At 43.5% G+C, this 27,249-nt stretch overlaps 1 protein-coding gene across 14 annotated transcripts in view, besides 2 other annotated features; it reads left to right on the forward strand.

Annotated features, from left to right (window-relative positions):
- TULP4 (TUB like protein 4) overlaps positions 1–27,249 on the forward strand; it is a 279,634-nt gene that overhangs the window by 104,145 nt on the left and 148,240 nt on the right. The window lies entirely within an intron of this gene.
- Positions 2,803–3,335: an enhancer, noted in NCBI's record as "OCT4-NANOG hESC enhancer chr6:158760174-158760706 (GRCh37/hg19 assembly coordinates)". NCBI's record gives its function as "activates a minimal SCP1, AML or CMV promoter by ChIP-STARR-seq in primed H9 embryonic stem cells {active_cell/tissue: H9 hESC(primed)}" and the evidence as "EXISTENCE:reporter gene assay evidence [ECO:0000049][PMID:30033119]".
- Positions 21,339–21,588: an enhancer, noted in NCBI's record as "active region_25354". NCBI's record gives its function as "activates an Ori minimal core promoter by ATAC-STARR-seq in GM12878 lymphoblastoid cells {active_cell/tissue: GM12878}" and the evidence as "EXISTENCE:reporter gene assay evidence [ECO:0000049][PMID:35858748]".

Here is a 27,249-nt window from a genome sequence, read left to right on the forward strand (position 1 = left end):
TGTGGTGTATATTACAAATGTCTTCTCTCAATTTGTTAACTTTGACTTTGCTTAGTGTATTTTTTGCCATGCAGAAGGTTTAAAACTTTTTTTTATCTAGTCAAATTTGTCAGTCTCTTATTGCGCTGGATTTTGAGTCATAATTGGAAAGTCTTTTTCCACATGTAAGTGATAGAGGAATTCACCCATATTTTCTTGTAGCTTAGAAAAAGACTCAGAAAAAAGAATACTATTGGTAAGAAAATCAACATGTATTTTGTCCTCATTAGGGGATTTTTCATTCATGACTTCCTTATAGCAGGACAAATACTAATCAAGCACTTTGAGACCTGCCAGGCAATTTGTTTTTAAATGCCTTCTAAAAATAGATAAAGAACAGAGAGATAACTAACTATTCAGGTAAAGTTAGAATTTCACTTAGGGACAAAAATGGGAATATAAGTCATTTTTTTAAAACTTTGATTTTTTGGTCTATTTTGAATTAGTCCCTATGACCAATTCACTTCTTTTTTTTAAGGTTCTTGCCTGTTAAACGGGTCATTTTGTTTAAGATGTTTTCTTCCTGATTTCATAGAGCATTTTGCTCAGAATAGAATCCAAGTCTCACTAGTGTCTTAGAGCTCTGTTCATTTTATTGCAGGGCTGAAGTTATTTGGAAAGGAAAGGTTATGAGCTGTAAAATTTTCTTTCTTTCTTTTTCTTTCTTTCTTTCTTTCTTTCTTTCTTTCTTTCTTTTCTTTCTTTCTGTCTCTCTCTCTCTCTTTTTTTCTCTCTCTCTCTTTCTTTCTCTTTTTTTTTTTTTTTTTTTTTTGAGACAGAGTCTTTCTCTGTTGCCTAGGCTGGAGTGCAGTGGTTCAATCATGGCTCACTGCAGAGCATTAATTTCCTGGGCTCAGGTGATTCTTCCACTTCAGCTTAGTAGCTGGGCTACAGGTGCACACCACCATGCCCAGCTATTTTTTTGTATTTTTTGTAGAGATGGGGTTTCACCATGTTGCCCAAACTGGTCTTGAACTCCTGGGCTCAAGAAATCCACCTGCCTTGGCCTCTCAAAGTGCTGGGATTACAGGCATGAGCCACCACTCCCGTTCAGCTGTAAAAATTTTTAGCCTTTTCTCCCTGATACAGACTGAAGCAATGGATAGTGAATGCATCTGTGTGTGAAACAGGTGGAGGACTAAAAATAGGTCCTCAAATACCTTTCTGCCATCAGTGTCACTAAAGCCCTGGCACTGATTCCCTTCCTGGAATTAAAGTGAGTACAAGAAGAAATACATGATTTACCTTTTATTTTAAGGCACCAAAGCCAAGTCCCTGCACCCACAGTGTGCAAACAAATAGAAACAACAAAGTGTCAAGTGCACTGGATACCAATCAATCGACTTATCTGACCAATACTCCTAAAGACCAAGAGTATTCAAAAATTATTTCTAGAAAGAAGTGAATGTTTGATTTTTTTTTTTTAAAGCAGTTAAGCACTTTTGGGACTGAAACAAAGGTACTAAAAGTAGGAAACAGAAGAAACCAGAGGAATATCGAATCTTGGAAAGGCCTTAGAAACCATCTCATTTTTAAGATTAAGAAAATTAAAGGCTAGAAAGTAGCTGAAGAAAGGTCAAGTGGGTAAAGTCACACTTTCACCCAACCTGTCTCCACCCAACAGTGAATTCTCATGACTCTGGCCGTAGTTATTGAAGGGTAGGTACAATTTAGGGCCATGAAACAGTCAAGTTACTGGTCTCTATGGTAACAGTCTTCAGAGCACCTGATGGAAGCATTTCCATACAAGTCACACTTTATGTATTTATTTATTTTTGAGACAGGGTCTTTGCTCTGTCACCTAGGCTGGAGTGCAGTAGTGTGATCATAGCTCACTCCAGCCTTGAATTCCTGGCCTCAAGTAATCCTCTTCCAAAGTGCTGGAATTATAGTCAGTCTTCCAAAGTGCTGGAATTATAGATGTGAGCCACCCCACCCAGCCCAAATTATACTTTAAAGTGTAATGAATAATAACAATCAAAAACAGACATTTAAAATGATAGGTGTAAAGGACACATAATTTAGTGAACATGATATTGCAATTAAACCTTATTTTGGACACTCTCATGCAGCCAGCTTATTGAAGTGCATGTCTCAGTCTGCACCTGCCAGCTCATTCTGGGCCAGTCTCTGCTAAAGGAGTGCTGCTGAGGTGTGAACCGTTCCAAAGCTGGGCAGTGACCCTGTATCCTTTGCGGAATTTAGCATTCCACATTTCCGCATACTAGAGGCTGGTTTGATATTTGTGACATTGAATCAGCCATGTTATGTTGCACCTGCAGTGGGGAATAGAGAGGCTAGCAGGTTGGAAGGTAAACTTGGCCCAGGGACCTAAATTACTACTTTGGGGTAGAGCCAGGACCAGAGAGGGACCAGGTGGGATTGGTAGTTACAGGTAAAGAGGGTACTCTGCAGGTGGGGAATGATCACATTTCCTGAACCTTGCTTTTGAGATAGGTCTTGATTGACAAATATTCTCTCTGGCTCTGGGAAATGTTGCCTCACTTTGTTTTCAGAACTCCCTTCCTGTGAGTCTCTGATGACAGCTCTTCTCATGCAGGTATAAGCCCTCCTGAGCGGGCAGGCATTCCCTGTGCTTGCATGTAAGACTGAGTCTTACACTTGGGAAAAAGTCTTGCACTTGGGAAAAAGAAAAAAACACATTGGTGTGCCAGATATCAGGGGAACCTGCCCCCAGTAATTCAACGTGAGTCCTTTTCTATTTTCCCTAAGTGTCGGCCAGTCTGAGAAATAAAGGAAAAGAGTACAAAAGAGAGAAATTTTAAAGCTGGTGTCCTGGGGGAGACATCACATGTCGGCAGGTTCTGTGATGCCCCCGAGCCGTAAAACCAGCAAGTTTTTATTAGCAGTTTTCAAAGGGGAGGGTGTTACGAATAGGGTGTGGGTCACAGAGATCACATGCTTCAAGGGCGACAAAAGATCACAAGGCAGAAGGTCAGGGCGGGATCACAAGGTCAGGGCGAAACTAGAACCACTAAAGAACTTCTGTGTCCCGCTGTGCACACATTGTCAGCGTTCAAGAGCAGAGAACCGGTCTGACTAGAATTCGCCAGGCTGGAATTTCCTAATCCTAGCAAGCCTGGGGGTGCTGCAGGAGACTAGGATGTGCTTCATCCCTATCTACATCTGCATAAGGCAGACACTCCTAGGGTGGCCATTTTAGAGGCCCCACCCTGGGAATGCATTCTTTTCCCAGGGCTGTTAATTATTAATATTCCTTACTGGGGAAAGAATTCAGCAATATTTCTCTTACCCATTTTTGGTAATAAGAGAAATATGGCTCTGTCCTGTGCGGCCCACAGGCAGCCAAACTTTAAGGTTATCTCCCTTGTTCCCTGAAAATCACTGTTATCCTGTTCTTAAGGTGCCCAGATTTCATATTGTTCAAACACACATGCTCTACAAACAATTTGTGCAGTTAACACAATCATCACAGGGCCCTGAAGCTACATACATCCTCAGCTTACAAAGATGACAGGATTAAGAGATTAAAGACAGGCATAGGAAATCACAAGAATATTGATTGGAGAAGTGATAAATGTCCATGAAATCTTCACAATTTATATTCTTCTGCCATGGCTTCAGCTGGTCCCTCTGTTCGGGGTCCCTGAGTTCCCGCAACAGGCCGTGGAGCTCAGGATACCTTAATTGTATTGGCCAGGTGAGCTTAGTTGATGTGGATCTGCTCGTGCAAGGTGAGTTGACCTTACTGTAGGCAGTAGGACATGTTCAGAGATCTGTAATTTCATTTGGTGGAATGTACAGTAACCTTGATAATTTGGTGACTAGAGAAAAATGGGTTTTTTGGGGGGAAAGAAGTGTATCAGAATTGTTTTATAACTAATTAGCCATTAAAATGAACCTGAAATAGTAGTATAGACATGCAAATTGTAGGACCACTCCTAAGTGTTGAGTATAATCATATTTATTGAATTAAGTCCTCATTAATTTAGCTTTATTTTCTTATGTTTGTTCCTGAGTGTGCCTAAGTGAGTCTTTCCCTCCTGCCCTGACGCTGCTTGGGCCCTCCTCTGTGTGCACACAGGGTGAGCGTGTGTGGGTGTGCATATCTCGTCAGCTGATATTATCCCTCTGGAGGAAAGGGGTGGTTCCACAGAGTTGACCGTACTGCTCCCAAACCAGGCCCTGCACCTGCATTGAGTCCTGGGTCTTCTGAGAACATGTTCTGATGTCCTTCCCTAGCCTGCCCTCCTGGAGTTCCCTCCTCAAGATGCACCTTCTCTCTTTCTAAGAGGAGAAAAGGTGACTCCGCTGAGTCCTACCTCCTCGACAAAGCGCCCTGACCACTTGGACCCAGTGATTCCAGAGAGTCCTTCGCAGGCCCTCATCCTTACTGTTTGTACCACTTGCTGGGCATATAACTTACTGCCTTCTGTTATTTTTAGGGATGTGTGCACATCTTGCATCTCTAGTTTAACAACGGTTGCTTGAGTTAGAGCCTTTGTGGGATTGCTGAGCTGCTTGAGAGGGCACAAATGAAGCAAGACTGAGGAGTTAAAGAATTTTAAGGCTCTCTCTGTTTTTTTGTGTGTGTTTTTTTGTTTGTTTGTTTAAGCCTTTGCAGAGCCATGGATTTTCCTAGTATGCTACTGAACACTAGATCTTATTCCTTCTATCTGACTGTATTTTTATGCCCATTAGCCATGTTCTCTTTATTCCCTCCTCCCCACAACCCTTCCCAGCTTCTGGTAACTGTCATTCTACTCAGAATCTCCATGAGGTCAATTTTTTTCTTTAGCTCCTACGTATGAGTGAAAACCACACGTCATTTGTCTTTCTGTGCCTGGCTTATTTCATTTAACATAATGTCCTCCAGTTCCATCCATGTTGTTGTAAATGACAGGAGTTCACTTTTTTTTATGGCTGAATAATATTCCCATGTGTGTATATGCCACACTTTTCTTTATCCATTTAACTCTTGATGGACACAGGTTAATTCCATATCTTGGTTATTTGACTGGTGCTACAGTAAACATGGGAGTACAGATAACTCTTTGACAAACTGATTTCCTTTGTTTTGGATATTTACCTAGCAATAGGGTTGCTGGATTGTATGGTAGTTCTATTTTTAGTTTTATGAAGATTCTCCATACTAAACGTTCCGTCCAACAATATATGAGGGTTCCCTTTTCTCCACATTCTTGCCAGCATCTGTTATTGCCTTTCTTCTTGGAAAAAGCTGTTTTAACTGGGGTGAGATGGTATCCCATTGTAGTTTTGATTTGCATGTCTCTGATTAGTGATGTTGGGCATTTTTTTTTCATATACCTGATGGCCATTTGTATGTCTTCTTCCAATAAATGTCTGTTCAGATCTTTTGCCAATATTTTAATTGTATTATTTATTTTTTCCTATTGAGTTGTTTGAATTTCTTATATATTCTGTTTATTAATCCCTTGTCAGATGGGTGGTTTGCAAATACTTTCTCCCATTCTGTGAGTTGTCTTTTCCCTTTGTTTATTGTGTCCTTTGCAGTGCAGAAGCTTTTTAGCTTGATGTGATTCCCCGCCGCCTCTGAGCTGGAGTCTTGCTCTGTCGCCCAGGCTGGAGTGCAGTGGTGCAATCTCAGCTCACTGCAACCTCTGTCTCCTGGGTTTAAGCAATTCTCCTGCCTCAGCCTCCTGAGTAGCTAGGATTACAAGGATGTGCCACCACACCTACTAATTTTTGTATTCTTAGTAGAAACAGTGTTTCACCATGTTGGCCAGGCTGGTCTTGAACTCTTGACCTCATGATCCGCCCATGTCGGCCTCCCAAAGTGCTGGGATTACAGGCGTGAGCCACTGCGCCCAGCCCAGCTTGGTGTGATCTTATTTGTCCACTTTTGCTTTGGTTGCCTGTGCTTTTGAGGTCTTACTCAGGAAATCTTTGTAAGGCTCTTTCTATTTTGAAAGCATGTTTAAGAACTTGCTGCACTTTAAAAAGTTGAGTTTACATAAGATTGTAATATTTATCAACATGAGTCACATTTTCACTTTCTTGTTCATTTGCACACTTTAGATCTAAATGCCGAGAACTAGGTTTTTGTTTATATAGCCTCGGTTGTCTCTGGAAGGAAAAATAGTTCCACGTGCCTGATCCATTCAGAGATGTAATTGCATAGCCTACCTGGTAGCTTAAGCATATAAGTTTCCTAGAATAATGAGACAACTAATGTACAATATGTGTTTTAAATTTTGTATTTGATACTTTAAATACAAATGCAAGACTGTGTGCTCAGTTGCCTATATTTACTGACTTCTTGAAAGGGTGGATTGAAGGCACCATGGCATAAAGAATGTAGGATTTGGACTCAGACCTTGAATCAGTTGTTAGTTCTGTCACCTACTAGCTGTATAATCTTCAACATGGCCCCTTAGCTGTAAAGCAAGGATAAAAAATCATATAGGGCTGTTGTGAGGATTAAGTCGAATAATGTATATTTATTTCATATATAAAATATCTGGTACAGTGTTTGACCCTAAGAATAGGCTCAATAAATGATCACTGCTAGGCTTCCTATAGTGAACGATGAGATTAAAAATAAATGTGTGTGTGTGTGTGTGTGTGTGTGTGTGTGTGTGTGTAGGCACTGCCTCCACCAGGACAGCCCCCGGGTGATGTGTAGAGAATCTGTACCCACCACAGCAGGGAAAATGGAGGACAAAGGGGGTTCCTGTGATGGCGTGTTCAGGGGCCTCCAGGAGGAGTAGGAGTTGTGCATGCTTGGAGCCCTGTGTGAGCGCGCCTGGGCTCTGTATGTTCTTTGTCTATGAAGGGGAGGGGCTTTGACTCCACAGGGGAGGTTTGCTGTAGTTCCTGTCAAAGGGCTGAGCTAGACTGGAACTCAGATTCTGGTTGAAACTGTGTCCAAAATGGTGTTGTGATTTAGATTCTTCAAACTTGGTTAGTTAACTCATTGCTGGTCTGCTTTTTCTTTTCTTGTGTTTCTAACCAAGCCAAATGCAACGGAAGGTAATGCAGGGAAGGGAATGGTGAGTGTTACGGGCTGAACATTTGTGTTCCCTCCTAAATTCAGCTTAAACCTTAACCTCCAAAGTCATAGTGTTAGGAAGTGAGGCTTTGGGAAGTGATTTGGGTCATGAGGATGGAGCCATCACGAATGGCCTTCTTAGGCCCTAGAGAGCTCGCACCCTCTTTCCCTCACATGAGGATACAAGGAGAAGGTGGCCACCTGCAGTCCAGAAAAGAGCCCTTGTCACAGCCCCACCATGCTGGCCCCCTGATCTCAGACTTCCAGCCCCCAGGACTGTGGGAAATAAATTTCTGTGGTTCATAGCTGCCTAGTCTGTGGTACTTTGCTATAGCAGCCTGAACTAAGACAGGCAGGAAAAGACTAATGGCTCCTCACTGATTTAAAATACTTTTAAAAAATCTATTGGGACAAATAGTTTGTCTTAAAATGAAAATACTAACAAAGTGAAGTGCATGGAGAAAATACTAATAAAATTAAGTACATGTGGATGTCAGGCCCCTGAGCCCAAGCTAAGCCATCATATCCCCTGTGACCTGCACGTATACATCCAGATGGCCTGAAGCAACTGAAGATCCACAAAAGAAGTGAAAATAGCCTTAACTGATGACATTCCACCATCGTGATTTGTTTCTTCCCCACCCTAACTGATCAATGTACTTTGTAATCTCCCCCACCCTTAAGAAGTTTCTTTGTAATCTCCTCCACCCTTAAGAATGTTCTTTGTAATTCTCCCCACCCTTGAGAATGTTCTTTGTGAGATCCACCCCCTGCCCGCAAAACATTGCTCCTAACTCCACCACCTATCCCAAAACCTATAAGAACTAATGATAATGCCACCACCCTTTGCTGACTCTTTTTTCGGACTCAGCCCACCTGCACCCAGGTGAAATAAACAGCCTTGTTGCTCACACAAAGCCTGTGTGGTGGACTCTCTTCACACAGACGTGTGAGACAGCGGACTTTGTTTTACTGAGCTTCCCTTTATTGGACTTTGCAGATAGTGTGTTTTTTACAAATTGAAGTTCCCGCATCAAGCAAGTCTTTCGGTGCCATGTTTTCAACAGCGTATATTCACTTTATATCTCTGTGGTACATTTTGGTAATTGTCACAATATTTCAAGCTTTTTCATCATTATATCTTTTATGGTGATCAGTACTTTTTGATGTTACTGTTGTAATTGTTTCAGGGTGACACAAACTGTGTGCATATAAGACAGTGATCTTAGTAAATGTTGTATGTGTTATGACTGTTCCACCGGCTGGCCATTCCCCCATTTCCCTTTCTCCTTGAGCCTCGCTGTTGCCTGAGATGACAATATTGAAATTATGCCAGTGAATAACCCTACGGTGATCTCTAAGTGTTCAAGTGAAAGGAAGAATCACAGGTCTCTGACTTTAAATCAAAAGCTAGAAATGAGTAACTCAATGAGGAAGACATATCTAAAGCCGAGACAAGCTGAAAACCAGGCCTCTTGAGCCAAACTGTTAGCCAAGTTGTGAATGCAAAGGAAAAGTTTTTGAAGGAAATTAAAAGTGCTACTCCAGTGAACATGTGAATGATAAGAAAGCAAAACAGGCTTATTGCTGATATGGAGAAAGTTTTAGTGGTCTGGATGGAAGATCAAACAGCTCTAACATTTCTATTAGCCAAAGACTAATCCAAAGAATGTCCTAACTCTCTTTAATTCTGTGAAGGCTGAGAGAGGTGAGGAAACTGCAGAAGAAAAGTTTGTAGCTAGCAGAGGTTGGTTCATGAGGTTTAAGGAAAGAAGCCATCTTTATAACATAAAAGTGCAGGGTGAATGCAATGGTGCAATCATGGCTCACTGCAGCCTCAAACTCCTGGATTCAAGCAATCCTCCCTGCCTTAGCCTTCCAAGTAGCTGGGACCACAGGTGCATGCCACCATGCCTGGCTAATAGACAAGATGTTGCTACATTCATCAGGCTGGCTTTGGACTCCTGGCCTCAGGCTATCCTCCTTCCTCAGACTACTATTGGGGGAACCCACCCCCAATATTTCAGTGTAGGTTCTTTCTATTTTCCCTAAGTGTCAGCCAGTCTGAGAAATAAAGAGTACAAAGAGAGGAATTTTACAGCTGGGCCGCCAGGCGTGACATCACATATCGGTAGGACCGTGATGCCCACCTGAGCCACAAAACCAGCAAGTTTTATTAAGGATTTCAAAAGGGGAGTGGGTGTAAGAACAGGGAGTAGGTCACAAAGATCACATACTTCAAAGGGCAAAAAACAGAACTACTGATAAGAGTCCAACAAAGATGGCAAGGCAAAGGGCAAAAGCAGAATTACTGATAAGAATGTATTTTCAGCGGTGCACGTATTGTCTTGATAAACATCTTAACAGAAAGCAGGGTTCAAGAGCAGAGAAGTGGTCTGACCTCAAATTTACCAGGGCAGGGTTTTTCCCTACCCTAGTAAGCCTGAGGGTACTGCAGGAGACCAGGGCTTATTTCAGTCCTTATGTCAACCGCGTAAGACAGACACTCCCAAAGCAGACGTTTATAGATCTGCCCCCAGGAATGCAATCCTTTTCCCAGAGTATTAATAACAATATTCCTTGCTAGGAAAAGAATTTAGTGATATCTTCCCTACTGGCACGTCCGTTTATAGGCTCTCTTCAAGAAGAAAAATATGGCTCCTTTTGCCCGACCCCACAGGCAGTCAGATCTTATGGTTGTCTTCCCTTGTTCCCTAAAAATTGCTGTTATTCTGTTCTTTTTCAAGGTGCACTGATTTCATATTGTTCAAACACATATGTTTTACAATCAATTTGTACAGTTAACACAGTTATCACAGGGTCCTGAGGTGACGTACATCCTCAGCTTACGAAGATAACAGGATTAAGAGATTAAAGTAAGACAGGCATAAGAAATTATGAAAGTATTATTTGGGAAGTGATAAATGTCCATGAAGTCTTCACAATTTATGTTCCTCTGCCACAGCTCCAGCCGGTCCCTCCCTTTGGGGTCCCTGACTTCCTGCAATAGACTACCAAAGTGTTAGGATTACAGGCATGAGCCACTGCACCTCATCTGAACATAACTCTCGTATGCACTAGGAAACCAAAAAATGGTGTGACTCGATTTATTTTGATCTTTGCTTTATTATAGTGATCTAGAACCAAACCTGCAGTATCTACAAGTTATGCTGATATATGGATTATTCCTATCACTTTTGTTTGGCTTATCAAATAAAAAAAGCATCTGTAACTTTATACTTGGGTTTCTTTTAGCACCAAAAAGTTCAGTGTTTTGGGTTCTAAAGATTCATTTAGGCAGAGTATTTAATGATTTAAGACTGGTGTAGATTGAAGCTTTTGCTGAAATGAAACCCCTTTAGCCACTCTTCCTTTCCTTTCTTCCTTCTTGAAGGTTTACATTTTTCTCCTTTCCTCATGACTTGATGATGATTCTGTAATTGTCTGATCTGCTACTTGCTAATTTGGCATTAAATTTCAAGTTAATATGTGTGTGCATCTTTTTTGCCCCTCAAAATTTGGATGAAAGATGTGACCATAGCTGCAGCAGACATGAAAGGTGAAGTTCCTCCTGCAATCCCAGAATGTGGAAATGGTAGGGAGGGTTTTTTCCCTGGCAAATCACTTTTGTTGTGCTTTTTTCTAAAATAAGCCATTGCAATATTTCTTATAGGGCTTTCAGCGACAGAAATCCGTACTTGCCTGCACTTTGAGGATAATTGATATTAATAATGTGATCTTAAGGGCATTATTGGATTCCAGAGTGTCTTCTGAATTATTAATGAAAGATTATCTTAAGCATAGTTTTTTAGTTCATTGCATTTTATTGCATTATAATTAACTGAAAAGTAGAAATTTGTATATTTCATATAAATGAGAACCTTTTCATTTAACAGTAGCACATAATCCATTAACATATGTATAGAAATCTGTAAGTATAGAAATATGAAATATATACATGTTTCTAAGGCAATCACTTCCTACCATTCTACTGCTAAGCCTGGTCTAAGCTCATCCCTTGTTTGGATTAGTGCACTGACATACTTGGTTACCAGGCTTCTCTTCTGGACTTTTCTTTTAGTCCACATAACGGCCAAAATAGTATTTACAAGCATCCAGAGACCAATCTACCCTCTGACTTGCTTAGCCCTCTACTGGCCCCTTGACTCATTACTGTGCTGTCAGGCCCTCTTCATCGCTTGTGCCTCTGACTTCATCTCCTGCCATCTCTTTGAGGTAAAGTCTTCCTGCCTGCTGACCTTCCTGAAGTGAGCCAAGCTTGCTCCTAGGGGCCTAGGCCCTTAGTGCCAGCTGTCTCCCCTGCCTGGGTGGTGCCTTCTTGACACTTAGATTCTACTGTGTTTAAGGTGACTTCCTCCGGCCTTCCCTGACTGCATCACAAGTTATCCCTTCTCCACCTTTTTTATCACTATTAGATTTTTTTTTCTGAAATAACACTTGGATTATTTTACTTCTTTGATTTAAGAATCTATAAGGTAGAATGTTTTTGGATGAGAAAAAAAAAGAATCTGTAAGTGTTTTCTAAATTGCATATTTCATCAAATGAAAACTCTCCAACCTGGGTTTTTTTTTTCTTGATCTTTATTTCTCATTTGAACATTTATGTTTTAGAGAAAATACTTAGAGTCCCTTTCCTTGCTGAGATTCTGTATTTCTAGCAATTGATCACTTAAACAACGTAAACCTTAATAGATAAATGCCATAAATCCACTGGCCCTGTGCATTATTTTATGTTTTGGTCTTTTTTTTTTTTTTAAGGTTTTTTTTTTTTTTTAGTATTTATTGATCATTCTTGGGTGTTTCTCGGAGAGGGGGATGTGGCAGGGTCATAGGATAATAGTGGAGAGAAGGTCAGCAGATAAACACGTGAACAAAAGTCTCTGGTTTTCCTAGGCAGAGGTCCCTGCGGCCTTCCACAGTGTTTGTGTCCCTGGGTACTTGAGATTAGGGAGTGGTGATGACTCTTAATGAGCATGCTGCCTTCAAGCATCTGTTTAACAAAGCACATCTTGCACCGCCCTTAATCCATTTAACCCTGAGTTGACACAGCACATGTTTCAGAGAGCAGGGGGTTAGGGGTAAGGTTATAGATTAACAGCATCCCAAGGCAGAAGAACATTTCTTGGTACAGAACAAAATGGAGTCTCCTATGTCTCCTTCTTTCTACACAGACACAGTAACAATCTGATCTCTCTTTCTTTTCCCCACATTTCCCCCTTTTCTTTTTGACAAAACTGCCATTGTCATCATGGCCCGTTCTCGATGGTCGCTGTCTCTTCGGAGCTGTTGGGTACACCTCCCAGATGGGGCGGCTGGGCAGAGGGGCTCCTCACTTCCCAGATGGGGCAGCTGGGCAGAGGCGCTCCTCACTTCCTATACGGGGCGGCCGGGCAGAGGCGCTCCTCACCTCCCAGACAAAGGGCGGCCGGGCAGAGGTGCTCCTCACTTCCCAGATGGGGCGGCCGGGCAGAGGCGCTCCTCACCTCCCAGACGAAGGGCGGCCGGGCAGAGGCACTCCTCACCTCCCAGATGAAGGGCGGCCGGGCAGAGGCGCTCCCCATTTCCCAGATGGGGCAGCCGGGCAGAGGCGCTCCTCACTTCCCAGACGGGGCAGCCGGGCAGAGGCGCTCCTCACTTCCCAGACGGGGCGGCCAGGCAGAGGCGCTCCTCACTTCCCAGATGGGGCAGCCGGGCAGAGGCGCTCCTCACTTCCCAGATGGGGCAGCTGGGCAGATACACTCCTCACTTCCCACACGGGGCGGCTGCCCGGCAGAGGCGCTCCTCACCTCTCAGACGGGGTGGCCGGGCAGAGGCGCTCCTCACATCCCAGATGGGGCGGCCGGGCAGAGGCGCTCCTCACCTCCCAGATGGGGCGGCTGCCGGTCAGAGGTGCTCCCTCACATCCCAGATGGGGCGGCCGGGCAGAGGCACTCCTCACCTCTCAGATGGGGCGGCCGGGCAGAGGTGCTCCTCACTTCCCAGATGGGGTGGCAGCCGGGCAGAGGCGCTCCTCACATCCCAGACGGGGCGGCTGGGCAGAGGCGCTCCTCACCTCCCAGATGGGTTGGCAGCTGGGCAGAGGTGCTCCTCACCTCCCAGACGAAGGGTGGCCGGGCAGAGGCGCTCCTCACATCCCAGACGATGGGTGGCCGGGCAGAGGCGCTCCTCACCTCCCAGATAGGGTGGCAGCCGGGCAGAGGCGCCCCTCACTTCCCAGACGGGGTAGCGGCTAGGCAGAGGCGCTCCTCACATCCCAGACGGGGCAGCCGGGCAGAGGTGCTCCTCACTTCCCAGACGATGGGCGGCCGGGCAGAGGTGCTCCTCAATTCCCAGACGGGGTGGCTGGGCAGAGGCACTCCTCACTTCCTCCCAGACGGGGCGGCCGGGCAGAGGCGCTCCTCACCTCCCAGATGGGGCGGCCGGGCAGAGGCGCTCCTCACCTCCCAGACGGGGCGGCCGGGCAGAGACGCTCCTCACCTCCTAGGTGGGGCGGCCGGGCAGAGGCACTCCCCACTTCCCAGACGGTGTGGCGGCCGGGCAGAGGCACTCCTCACCTCCCAAACGGGGCGGCCGGGCAGAGGCGCTCCTCACTTCCCAGGCGGGGCAGCCGGGCAGAGGCGCTCCTCACTTCCTCCCAGACGGGGCAGCCGGGCAGAGGCACTCCACTTCCCAGACGGGGCAGCCGGGCAGAGGCGCTCCTCACTTCCCATTCGGGGCAACCGAGCAGAGGCGCTCCTCACTTCCTCCCAGACGGGGCGGCCGGGCAGAGGCTCTCCTCACTTCCTAGACAGGGTGGGGGCCAGGCAGAGGTGCTCTTCACTTCCCAGACGGGGCGGCCGGGCAGAGGGGCTCCTCACATCCCAGACGATGGGCGGCCAGGCAGAGACGCTGCTCACTTCCTAGATGGGGTGGCGGGCGGGCAGAGGCTGTAATCTTAGCACTTTGGGAGGCCAAGGCAGGCGGCTGGGAGGGGGAGGTTGTAGCAAGCCGAGATCACGCCACTGCACTCCAGCCTGGGCAACATTGAGCACTGAGTGAGTGAGACTCTGTCTGCAATCCCAGCACCTCGGGAGGCCGAGGCAGGCAGATCACCCGAGGCCAGGAGCTGGAGACCAGCCCGGTCAACACGGCAAAACCCCGTCTCCACCAAAAATACAAAAACCAGTCAGGAATGGTGGCATGTGCCTGGAATCCCAGGCACTCGGCAGGCCGAGGCAGGAGAATCACGGGAGCCCGAGGCAGGGAGGTTGCAGCGAGCTGAGATCATGGCAGTACAATCCAGGCTTGGCAAGAGAGGGAGACCGTAGAAAGAAAGGAAGAGGGGAGAGGGGAGATGGGAGAGGGGAGAGCTTTTTTTTTTTTTTAAAGAAGAGTCTTGCTCTGTTGCCCAGGCTGGAGTGAAGTGGTGCAATCTCGGCTCACTGCAGCCTCCGCCTCCCGGTTTCCAGCGATTCTCTTGCCTCAGACTCCTTGGTGGCTGGGATTACTGCCACCACTGCTGGCTAACTTTTGTATTTTTAGTAGAGATAGGGTTTCACCATGTTGGCCAGGCTGGTCTTGAACTCCTGACCTCAGGCAGTTCACCTGCCTCGGCCTCCCAAAGTGCTAGTATTACAGGCATGAGCTACCACGCCTGGCCCTGTTTTGGTCTTTATCAGTGGCTGTGTATGCTTTCACAGAGTTCAAATGGGTGCGAACTTGTCCCTGGATACTTTGCATTGCATTTTTATATGGATGGTCCTGAGTTATACAGTACTGAACCCCGAATACTAACACTTATGTAGGCACCTTGATGAAAAACTAGAGTGATGTTAGGTATGAATGCTTGATTAAGCCCATTCTTTTAGTGCAGAACTGCCTTGTGGCTCAGCCTGTGTAGCTGAGATGAGCATTTCTTAGCCTTGCACTATATATTTTTGTGCCTCAGTTCTCTGTGAAGTCTTCTTATGAGGCTGAGGCTGTGCAAGACTTGGTGAGAGTGTTAGCTTCTGAATAGAGAGGCTTCAGCAACCCGTTTTTGCAAATTAATCAAAAGTTGAATAAGGCTTGTTGTTAAATTAAAATTGTATTGCCTGTTTACAAGTGATAGTTATACATACTGTGTTCTTAAGATATGAAAAAGCACTGGTGGCATTTCCTGGGAAAAACGTAGTGGATTTGCTCCCTTTTATAACTGTATTTGTGGACTTTACAAACTTAGACACCTTATGTAACTCAGGGATTGTCTATATTGACAAAGCTGATGAATTTGTGATGTGTAATAATTAAGTAGCATCTTTTTGTGTTGTTAAACTTTTTTTTTTTTTTTTTTTTTTTTTTTTTGAGACAGAGTCTCACTCTGTTGCCCAGGTTGGAGTGCAGTGGCGCCATCTCAGCTCACTGCAGCCTCCACCACATCCTGGGTTCAAGCGATTCTCCTGCCTCAGCCTCCCGAGTAGCTGGGATTATAGGCATGTGCCACCCCACCCAGCTAATTTTTGTATTTTTAGTAGAGACAGGGTTTCACCATGTTGGCCAGGCTGGTCTTGAGCCCCTGACCTCAGATGATGCGTCTGCCTTGGCCTCCCAAAGTGCTGGGATTACAGGCGTGAGCTACCACACCCAGCCCCATTATTTGTTTAAATAATTACTTATTGGGGCATTTAAAAATATATTTATATTTTCCTTAGAATAAATACTGTGTTAGTCTGTACAAATTCTTTTGGGGCTGCAGTCTCAAAAGTGGAATGAATAGGATTAAAAACTTGAATAGTTTAAAATTTTTCTTGTATATTTCCAGATATCCATTGGAAAGACTGGCAAAATCATGAGGACCAGGTTTTTTAAGAAGAGACTTCTGGAGTCTAAAATTTCTAGATCTTATGAAGTCTTAATTTGTTGTTAATTAAAGGATATAAAGTGGTTTATCAAGTTTTAGTTTCTACTTTTTCATTTATTCATTAGATGAAATTTTAAATATTATCCATTTGTCATGATATGGACTGACACTGGTTCTTTTTTTGAGACGGAGTCTTACTCCGTCACCAGGCTGGAGTGCAGTGGCACGATCTCGGCTCACTGCAAACTCCACCTCCCGGGTTCAAGTGATTCTCCTGCGTCAGCCTCCCGAGTACCTGGGATTACAGGTGCCCACCACCACGCCTGGCTAATTTTTGTATTTTTAGTAGAGCTGGGGTTTCACCATGTTGGCCAGGATGGTCTTGATCTCTTGACCTTGTGATCCACCCGTCTTGGCCTCCCAAAGTGCTGGGATTACAGGCGTGAGCCACCGTGCCTGGCCCCGATACTGGTTCTTTAACTTTTGGGAGGATAGTAAATTTTTTAATGTTGGATTTGGCGTGTTCTCCCCATCCATTAAAACATTGTTTTTTATTTAAATATTGGAAAAAACCTTTCTCCTTTAATCACACCCTCTGTATCTCTAATAATCACATTTGGCTTTGTTTTATAGTTAAATACATACATCTATTTATTTTAAGATGTTATTATGATTTAAGTAATAAAGGAAAAGTGTATGAGTTTTTGCTCTCAAAATATTCTTTCGTATTTGTGTCTACTTAATTTTTCTGATAAATTTTACAATCATTTTTTATTCGAAGTAGGCAAGCCTGCAGAGAGCAGGCTCCAGCTGATGAAAAAAGTTTTCAGGCCCCAAATAAGGGTGAACCAGCTAGAAACCTTCCTTAGGATTGATATTGCTATGTAGCATGGCTGTCCCCATCGACCTCCCAGGCCTCCTGGCTTCAGTAATTTGTGCTGTGTCTCCCAGTCCCTGCCTCTATGTGGCTCTTTCCACAGAGTTTTTGATAATGCTTCAAACCTACATATGAATTGGGCAGATGTCTCTGTTGCTGTATTTAGTATTCCAGATAGAATCCTCATATATCTCTCCACTTGTCTTTCTTTATTCCCATTAGGGTTTTAAAATTTTCTTTAAATAGATTGCTTATATCCTACTTAAAGTTAATTCTCCCAAATTGGTGTTTTGCAAATGTGATTGCTTTGCAATTTTATTTTCAGATCCTGTAGCTATGTATAATTTTTTGAAATTTTGAAACCAAGGACAATACACATTTATATATATTTAAATTTATTTATTACGGTACTCTTTGTAAATTGAGGGTGGTGTACCTAGTAAAATTCTCAGTGTGTTCTTTTTTCTGCACTACCTGAAAATACCTTTTCTATTTTCAGTCTACAAGTTTACAGCTTCTTTAATTCGTTCAGGTGTCACTTTATTGAGTGCTATTTGTGGAGAAACAGATACAGAGTCTGAAAATACTGCATTGCTTGTTTGTTAATATGTTCAAATGCACTTTTATCTTCTATCTTTAAATCTCTGTGAATAGATCATTCTTAAAGTCCTTGCAAGCACTGAAATTGTTTCTGGAGATTAAAACAAAGTGAATTCTCTAACAATAAAAATATTTTAAATAGACTTAGATTTTATTGATGGAAGGTAGAAGTACCTGGGCATTCCCTAAAGGGGTTTTATTTTATGTGGGCGCTTGTTGAGAAATGTCTGAGAACAGCATCTTCTCTGAATCAGCTGCAGTGGTTGCTGTGGTCATCGGCCCCAGAGTCTTCGGGGAGCAATTTTGTTGACACAGGAGATGTTCTCATCTAGCATGTGTCCTCACCTGAAGGCCCATCAGGATTCTTAGCTGGCACCGTTTCCTGAGGAGTGCCTTTGGAAGGAATCTTCAGAGTAATTGTGTGACCACTGGTAACCTTAGGGAATTTTACTAGAGGATTGTGTCTTTATTTTCCCTAGTATTTGTACTTCTCCTTGGAGGAAGGTATTTAATAATTTTGGTTGACGGAAAAACAAAGGAGTGAACTAATAAGGATAGAAGCTAATATATGAATAGCCTTTATGTGTTTTATGTTTTTTTAAGTTGATCTCTAAGGCATTTGGAGAGCATCCAGCTACATGATGTCATTACCGAACAAGTGAAGCCATGGGGCATACATTCTGTCGTACTCACAGGCTGGCATTTTCCATTATGTTACCACATTTGTCGACTGGTGTCACCAAGAACAAATGCAAACATCTGTCTTCTTGTAGATGTGGAATATTTGTAATAGGCATACTTAACACGGTATCAGCTTTTTCTTGTTTCATTGCTTTAGGGAAAAAAATGTATTGAGATGGCTTGCTGACAGATGTGAATAAAGAATAAAATGTTTGCCCTTGGCTGGGCATGGTGGCTCATGCCTGTAGTCCCAGCACTTTAGGAGGCCAAGGCGGGAGGATCACTTAAGGTCAGGGATTTGAGTCTAGTCTGGGCAACGTAGCAAGACCCCATCTCTAAAAAACAACATTGGCTGGGTACAGTGGTGCACACCTATAGTCCTGGCTGCTCAGGAAGCTGAGGCGGGATGATTGCTTGGGCCCAGGAGTTCTAGGTTACAGTGAGCTATAACTGCGCCACTGTACTCCAGTCTAGGTGACAGAGCAAGACCCCATCTCAAAAAAAAAAAAAAAACCAGAAAGCCCTCAAGATGCTCATTTGCTCATTGTCAAGTATAAATAATTGCCATACAGGAAAATAATAGTTGGGTACAGTTGTGTACGTGGTGTGAGAAATTCTGAGGAAGTTCTTCAGGGGATGATTCAGACCAGCTGAATTATAAGCAGAAGTTTTTTGTTGGTTTTTGTTGTTGTTGTTTTTGAGACAAAGTCTTGCTCTGTCACCTAGACTGGAGTACAGTGGCACAGTTATAGCTCACTGTAACCTAGAACTCCTGGGCCCAAGCAATCATCCCGCCTCAGCTTCCTGAGTAGCTGGGACTACAGGAATGTGTCCCAGCTACTGTCCCATGCCCAGGTAATTAAAATAATTATTTTGTAGAGGTGGGGGTCTTGTTCTATTACCCAAGCTGGTCTTGAACTCCTAGCCTTAAGTGATCCTCCTGCCTTGGCCTCCCAAAGTGCTGGGATTATAGACATGAGCCACTGTGACTGGCCTATAAGCAGAGTTTTGAAGGGTAAATGAAAATTTATGAGGAGAGTGGTTTGTCCAAGAGTCCAGGTAGTAGACAAGGAAGCTGGAAGAGTGGATGGAGCCCTGAGTACCAAGGAAAGGATATCCTGTTTTATCTGCATTTACAAAAGCTCTGTTCATGTGTAGTGTAGGTTCTGAATAGGAGGGGAGGAGGGACTGGGAGCTGGGACTTTGGTTAAAAGGCTTTTGCAAGAATCTAGGCAAAAAGGGTGGGCTCAGGAAATGGGAATGGAGAGGTTAAATTTGAAAGATATGTAGGGAGTAAAATTAGTGGGATCATGGACAGGTTTGGTGTAGGTGGCAAGTAAGAAGGTTACAGCCCAGAATGACTCTCAACTTATGAGTGGATGCCATTGACCCATATGAACAATACAAACGAGAAATCTGTTAAAAATTCAAGTTCAAATTTATACATGCAACAACATGGATTAATCTCAAGAACATTATACTGAGTGAAAGAAGCTGGACATGGGTGACCACACATAGTACATTATTTCATTTATATGAAACTCTAGAAAAGACAGAAGACTGACCAGTGATTGCCTGGGGCCACTGAGTGGTAGAGGTACAAGAAGATTTTTGGGGTGAGAAATCTTGATTGTGGTGGTAGTTACATGGATGTATAAATGTGTCAAAATTCGTTGAAAGGTCCACTTTAATGTTTGCATCTTATTTGTTTACATTATACTTCAATAAAGTTAATTTTTAAAATTCAATTTAGGTCTGGGCCAGAGAGAAGTAAACATTTGTGAGTTAGTGGTGTTTAAATCGTGGCTGAAATTCCAGGAATGGATGAAATCATCCAAGCCACATATTGAGGATAAAAAAAGGACCAAAGAAAGTGGCCTAGGGGGTCCCAAGCTTTAAGGGGAAGGGAGGGAAATAAGAGCCTTTGAGGACAACAGGAGTGGTTAGAGCTGACCAGAGGACAGTGACATGAATCCAGGGAAGAGAATTTCACAAATGGAAGGGTGCAGAAGTTTCCCTCACTGCAAAGATGTCAAGATCAGGACTATTGGATTCAGCAGTTTGGAGGTCGTTGTTTTTCAGTGAAATTGTGGTTGATTGCAGATACTGAGCATGAGAGCCCAGAGAGGGTAGGGAAGACTGATACTGGCATTCTTTCAGGAATTCTGGCTATGCAGGGGGCCAGAAAAATGGGCAGTTAGGTGGTTGGGGCTTAGGTGGTTGGGGCATCCAGGGTCCAATTCTTAACAACGTCAGGATCCTTTCATCTTTTATACATTGAGGGGCTCTGGTAGAAAAAGCCAGATGGTAGATAGGGTAATTGACGGGGAGGGGCTCAGGAGCATGGGACAAAAGGAGAGGGCAGTGCTGTAAGGTAGATGCCAAGGTGATGAAACAGAGGGGACCTGGAGGCTGGTGTAAGGAGGAGCTGAAGCTGTAAAGTAACTCCTTAGGAACTGGGAAAGAGGACTGACCATGAGTGAGTAGAGGGGTTGCCCAGGAGAGTTAGGAGTTAGGTCAGAAACCACGCAGTGGTTTTCTGGTAATTTTCCCCAGCTGTGCCTAGCAACATGGGGGTAGGCACTTCCATTTCCAAAAAAATAGATCTCTGTCACAGAATAATAGTGGCTGACATTTTCTTAAATCTGCTGACTAGGAGGCTTCAGGATACAACCTCTGCCCACAGCCCCCAGGCCCCAGGGAGTGCCCGAGCGTCCTCCAGATGGGGTGGGCAGCACGGCCCCTAGCTTCTCCCGTCTGCAGCACCCTCTCTGGATATGCTATTGCTAGGAGTTGTATTTGTGGTGGATTTTGTGACTCTTCGAGTCAAGGTTTTATTTGTCTAGAAATGAGAGCCTTGTCTGAGGAGAACATGCATTTTTTAATGAAACGTGACAGGATTTGCCACTGGTGTTACCAGCAGGCCTGGGCAGAGGCCTGTGTCAGGTTTAAATGTGAGCTGCAGGCAGAGTCATTTGTTTGTGGTCCATCTTCTAACAGTCATTTTGAAATGTCAGTGTTCACTTCTGGTTGGAGGACCACCCTGAGAAGATTCTCTTTCCCAGGAGTCAGTATTGGCTTGTGATGCACGTCTAAGATCCTACATAAAAATGACTATAGTAAGCCAGCAGCCCTGCGGCGGCCAGCAATTCCATTAGATGAGTAGGAAGAGAGCTGTGCTTTCTGCTGTTGTTTTTACTGGCTGGTGAAGCTATACCTTTGCTCTGATGTTATACCCAGAAAGGGAATCGTCTCCTGAAACTTGAAGTGTTCCTCTGATGCCGAGGCCTGGCCTTCCCTGAGGGATTGCCCCAAGGTCCCTACACCAGTGCTGGCCCAGGCTTGCCCTCTCCAGTCACTCTGGTTTGTTGTCAGGCAGAGAATTTTCACTTTCATCTTTGCTGCTGACTTCGCCCTCTCACCTCTTAATTTTTTTTCTTTGTAAAATTTAGGACCTTAGTTACGTGTCGTATTGAGAAAGCATAGATGACTGAAGATCCATCAGGCTTGGAGTCTTCATTACATACTTAGTAAGGAGGTGAGGTTGGGTGTGACGCTCATTCTTCTGGACCCAGTGTCCTCTTCTGTGAGCAAAGGATTGTGGTTGTGTCTGCCCTGACACATAGGAGTGCTCTGTGGGTTAACTCAGAACAGAAGTGGGACTCTGAACATTTTAAAGCAGCACACACATTAGTTGTTTTTAATGTTACTAATCCAGAGAAGACCTTTCAACCTTTCAGGACTTTTCATGCTTCTCAAGATCGGTTTCTCAGAATGTTCTCTGCAAAACCATGCAGGGGTGCAAGTGGAAGGAGGGAGAGAGTCCTTGGACCTGAGAACCTCTGAGATTTACAGACTTTGTTAAGATAATGAAACAGCTCTGTGAACTATTCTTAGAGAAAAGTGATTCTGTGTGTAAATTTTAAGTGTACTTGGTGATATTATGCTCAGAATACTCTATTCTCACCCTACTGAGGTATTTTATTTATTTAAACAAACCCATCAGTCCTTGTGGTATATTTACTTAGCACTTTATTTAATTGAATTGCTTCATTTGGGAAAACTTACCGACTCATATGGATTTATGCCTTGTTTGGGGCAGTTAGCCCTTGAGGGTGAAGTATTTCTCAGTGTCACTGTGCATAACAGAGATATTAATAATAAATGAATTTGTTAGTTCTTGCAGTAAAACAAGTATCCTCTATAGGCTGGTTACATCCCACATCTATTTAGCATTGGTATAAAAAGACATATGAGAAACGGTTCTGCACTCAAAGAGCTCTTACTTGAGGGCCAGAGACATGCTTGTAAGGCAGTAATGTACAAATCATGGAAAACTCTAGTGTGATAACTTAGCAGAAAATGCTTGTTTTGATGATATCAGAGAACCCATTTCAAAAGCAGTAACATTTGATTTGAGTCTTGATAGGTAACGAGGTTTCCTGACTAAAGAACAGGAGACAAGTGCTGTCTGCCCAGGGTATTTGTAGAGGGTGTGAGAAGACCAGCAGCTGGTGGTGGGTGGGGCTGGAGGGCTGAGATTAGAGACAGGCTGGGCCACACCGGGCAGCATGTGCCAATCTAAGCCGTTTCAGCTTTCTCCTGGGCAGTGGTCAGCCATGTACATTACATGCATGCTTCCCTTCACTACATGTTCTTTTATATTGAATAAGGAGGAATGTGTAATACATTAAGATAGCCTTCATAGGAAGATTCTGCCCCTAATTTGTTGTTTATGTGACTTTCTATGCCAGCCACCCTCCCCTCTTCCTCTTACCTAGAAAAGAAATGGGTGTCCACTTCGTTTACAGTGGTCTCTACTGATGGAATTTGGGAGAAACACCCCCTTTTGAAAGGAAAAAAAAATCGTTCTTTGCCAATTACTGCTGTGTACCTTCCTGGTTATATTCTCAAAGGAAACTAATGTCATCTTGTATTAGGGTACTCTAGAGGGACAGAATTAATAGGACAGATGTATGTTAAAGGAGAGTTTATTAAGGAGTATTAACTCACACGATCACAAGGTGGGGTCTCACAGTAGGCCATCTGCAAGCTAAGGAGCAAGGAAGCCAGTCTGAGTCCCAAAGCTGAAGAACTTGGAGTATGATGTTTGAGGGCAGGAAGCGTCCAGCACGGGAGAAAGATGGAGGCTTGGAGGCTAAGCCAGTCTAATCTCTCCACGTTCTTCTGCCTGCTTTTTATTCTGGTCACGATGGCAGTTGATTAGATGGTGCCCACCCGGATTGAGGGTGGGTCTGCCTCTCCGAGTCCACTGACTCAAATGTTAATCTCCTTTGGCAGCACCCTCACAGACACACCCAGGAACAATAGTTTATATCCTTCAGTCCAATCAAGTTGACATTGAATATTAACCATCACACAACTGAAGCTGGTAAATTAAAAAAATTTAAAACTCCCAGAATTTATCTTCTCTTCCCAGTTGAATAGGCCTTGGTACGAATTTTAGACGGCTTCTTTGACAGACTTTTCTGTGGGCCTGTCCCTGTGGACTGGCTTTCTGTCTGTTCTGCTCTTGCCCATTCACTTATTCATATCCTTTGTAACTCTGAAGGGCATCTGCCCTTGACTCTGGCCTTGGGGGACTTGGTGAATGTAGGGCCCATCTGGGCTAAGGGTCAGAGTTAAGTCTTCTGATGTTGGTAAAATAAGACAGTTGAAGCCTTCCCCCCTTCCCTTTTATGCCTCCAAAAAAAAAAACCAAACAAACAAACAAGGAAAAAAAAAAAGTGAGGCTAGAGTAACTATAAATAACACAAATTAACAGATTTCATGCCAGCACAATGTGCCTGTTGGCCAAGAAGCAGCACTTCTTATAGCTCCTGTATGGCTCCTGTACAGTGTCACTCCGGGTGTAGCACGATGCACTCTTGGGCATTCCTGGTATCTGTCCATCATGGAGGGTTTGGTAGGGTCCAGGGCCTCAAATGGAAATGGTCGGGAACTGATAGACCCTTAACTCATCTTGTTCTGGGTTGGCAGCCTCGAGTGCACATGTCAGTGTCTGCCCAAGAGGCTGTATTCTTATATGTCATATGCTTTAAGAATCAGTCTTCAAGTTGATACTATTTTTCTAAGTGATTTGGAAGATTGAATTGAAAGACCATTGTTGGAAGGCAATGGCAGCAAGTAGAATGTGGCATTTATGAAGAATTGGGTTCCGTTAAAAAATGAGTGTAGCAAAAACCAGACAGTCAGGTAAAAGGGGAAGAAAAATCTGTTAATGTTTATTTGGCAGGTAATTGTTGCTGAGATGTTTACTTAATGTTGGAAGACATGGAAGATGGTAAGAATAATCCCACAGGCTCTGAGCAGGTGGAATAGGCTGTATGCAAGTAAGAAGCCCTGAGCAAGTGAAACCCTACCCAATAAAGAGGTCTAGCAAAAAGTACAGTTCATGCTCTGTCATGTATAATGCATGTGCCTATCAGAAAATAGCCTGTTACTACAGTTATGCCACCATTAGCATAAATGCCACCATTAGCAGAATTACATTTTAATGTAATTATTGATATAGTTGAACTTAGGTCTCCAATTTTGCTATTTGTTTTCTGTTTATCTCCTTATTTTGTTATTCCTGATCCTCCTTTCCTGCCTTCTTTAGTGCTAACCAATTTTTTTCCATGTATCTTTCTGTTTTTAGTTTTATTTCTTTTTTAAAGTGATTGCTCTAAAGATTGTAACATTCATCTTGGATTTATCACAATATACTTAAAGTTGATGTAGAATTGCTTCTGTGGTGATACAGGAAGCTTGCAACAGTGTACTTCCATCTGTCCAGTCCTTTGAGCTGTCCTTGTCAGGTTCAGCCTCTGCCTGTGATTGGGACCCCTGGTGGGTTTTGAGCAGAGTGATATCAGGAGCAGCTATTGCTGTTAGCTGTTCCTGTTAGCAGTACCTCCAGACCCACTGATTATTCTAATAGAGCAGTATTCAATTCTAGTTTTTAGCAAGTTTTTAAAAACTTTGAGTGCATGGTTTTCACTGTTTAAAAATAGCAATGTGTTGTCCCTTATAATTGAGAGAGATGAGCTTTAGGGTCCCTGAAAGAGAATCTCAAAAGCCCGTTTAACCAATGTGCCAGATTGCCTGACTTTTTATGACGTTTTTCTTAATTAGTGGATTTGTGTTATATTTTATTGGCTCAAAAGTGAATCCCTAGCTCATAGCTTATTTCTCAAATCACTTAGCATTTTAATTACTTTTCAATTTTTGAGATACAAGTCACATATTTTCTTTTTAAAATTAATATATGTACTTTCTCATTGTAAAAGACCTGAACTATACAGAACTGTAAGAAGTAAAAGTCTTAGTTTTCCTTCCAGAGAGAACATGTTAGGAAAATCTCTTGGCATCTGAGGAGCTGGCTGTCTATTTTTACTTCTATATTGACTAGCTCTTTTTCCTTCTAATAAAGAGTGTATATTGGTTTAAATTATACCAACTTCCTCTGGGTTTTAGAGGTTAGCTTATTTGTAGACGAGTCTACCTACCACATCTATTTCTCCTTATGGCTTAGAGCATTTTCTGATCATCAGCATAAAATTTTAGGTGCCTTATTCATTTTGCCCCAAGAATGTTCAAACTCCTCAACCTCAGAAATGTTTCTAGTAGTTGAAAGACTGTTTTGCGATTACTTTTATTGGATTCTACACAGAAGTACCCATAGCATCATTGAACTAGCTCTGTTGCATAACTGTCCTGTGTCTAAAAATACACTGCTGAGTAGCATCAGCTCTTGCCCAGGGATATGAACCCACACTCTGGGTTATTTGTACTGACTCTGACCACAGACTATCTTCCAATATATCCTGCAAAATGATCCTTTATGGAAAACACCAAACTTCTTCCAGTGAAGTCTGATACTGTTGTAGTTACTGACAGCATAACAGACTGCGCTTGTTGTTTGTTCATCCAAGTTTGACTAGCCAACATTGAAGGATTTTTTTTTTTTCTTAACAGATGAGGTCTCTCTCTGTTGCCCAGGCTGGAGTGCAGTGATGCAGTCATAGTTCACTGTAAGCTTGACCTCCTGGGCTCAAGCAATGCTCCCGCCTCAGCTTCTCAAGTAGCCGGCACTACAGGTGTGTGCTCCCATGCCCAGCTAATTTTGGTATTTTTTATAGAGACAGGGTCTTGCTGTATTGTCCAGGCTGGTCTGGAACTCCTGGCCTCAAGTGATCTTCCTGCATTGGACTCCCAAAGTGTTGAGGTTACAGATGTGAGCCATGGTGCCCGGCCAGAGGGATTTTCATAATTATATTTATACTTCTCTGAGGTCTTTGGTGTCTGGGGTTGTAGATTGTGTCCATCTGTACTTAACCCATGCACACAGAGTGTTGTTTAGTGAATCTGACTTGAAACTCCATGCAAAGTCACAGTCTTGGCTGGGTGCGGTGGCTCACGCCCTTAATCCCAGCACTTTGGGAGGTCAGGAGGTCAGGAGTTCGAGACTAGCCTGGCCAAGTTGGTGAAACCCCATCTCTACTAAAAAAATACAAAAATTAGCCGGGTGCAGTGGCAGGTGCCTGTAATCCCAGCTACTCGGGAGGCTAAGGCAGGAGAAGCGCTTGAACCCGGGAGGCGGAGTTTGCAGTGAGCCAAGATTGCGCGTCTGCACTCTAGCCTGGGGGGACAGAGCGAGACTCCATCTCAAAAAAAAAAAAAAAAAAAAAAGTCACAGTCTTTGTATTAGGGCCAGGGAGTATTGTCCAGCTATTCACTGTTTAGAGCTAATACTTCCTTTATTCCCTGTTCTATCACATAAAAAACTATAGAACCTTCTCTTGCTGGCTGTGTGTACAGTGTTACAATAATTTACAATGCTTAAAAATAGGCAGATAATTGCTCTGGGATCCAGATGTGGAGGTTGAGATGACTTTATTGGGGAATGTGTTAACATATCACAGATCGCAGCAAGGGAACTAACATTTGTGTATAAATCACTGTTACATCTTTGAGGGTTAAGGCATCTATTTTTTTATTCACTTAGAGTACCAACTAGATTTTTTTCAACTGTCATTTTGCTGCCTATTTCCATGTAAGTTGAAGGTATGATAGTCACATTTTTTTTGTTTTTGTTTGTTTTCTTTTGAGGCGGAGTCTCACTGTGTCGCCCAGGCTGGAGTGCAGTGGCACGATCTTGGCTCACTGCAACCTCTGCCTCCTGGGTTCAAGTGA

The sequence above is a fragment of the Homo sapiens genome, chromosome 6, assembly GCF_000001405.40.
Source record: "Homo sapiens chromosome 6, GRCh38.p14 Primary Assembly".
Taxonomy (NCBI): domain Eukaryota; kingdom Metazoa; phylum Chordata; class Mammalia; order Primates; family Hominidae; genus Homo; species Homo sapiens.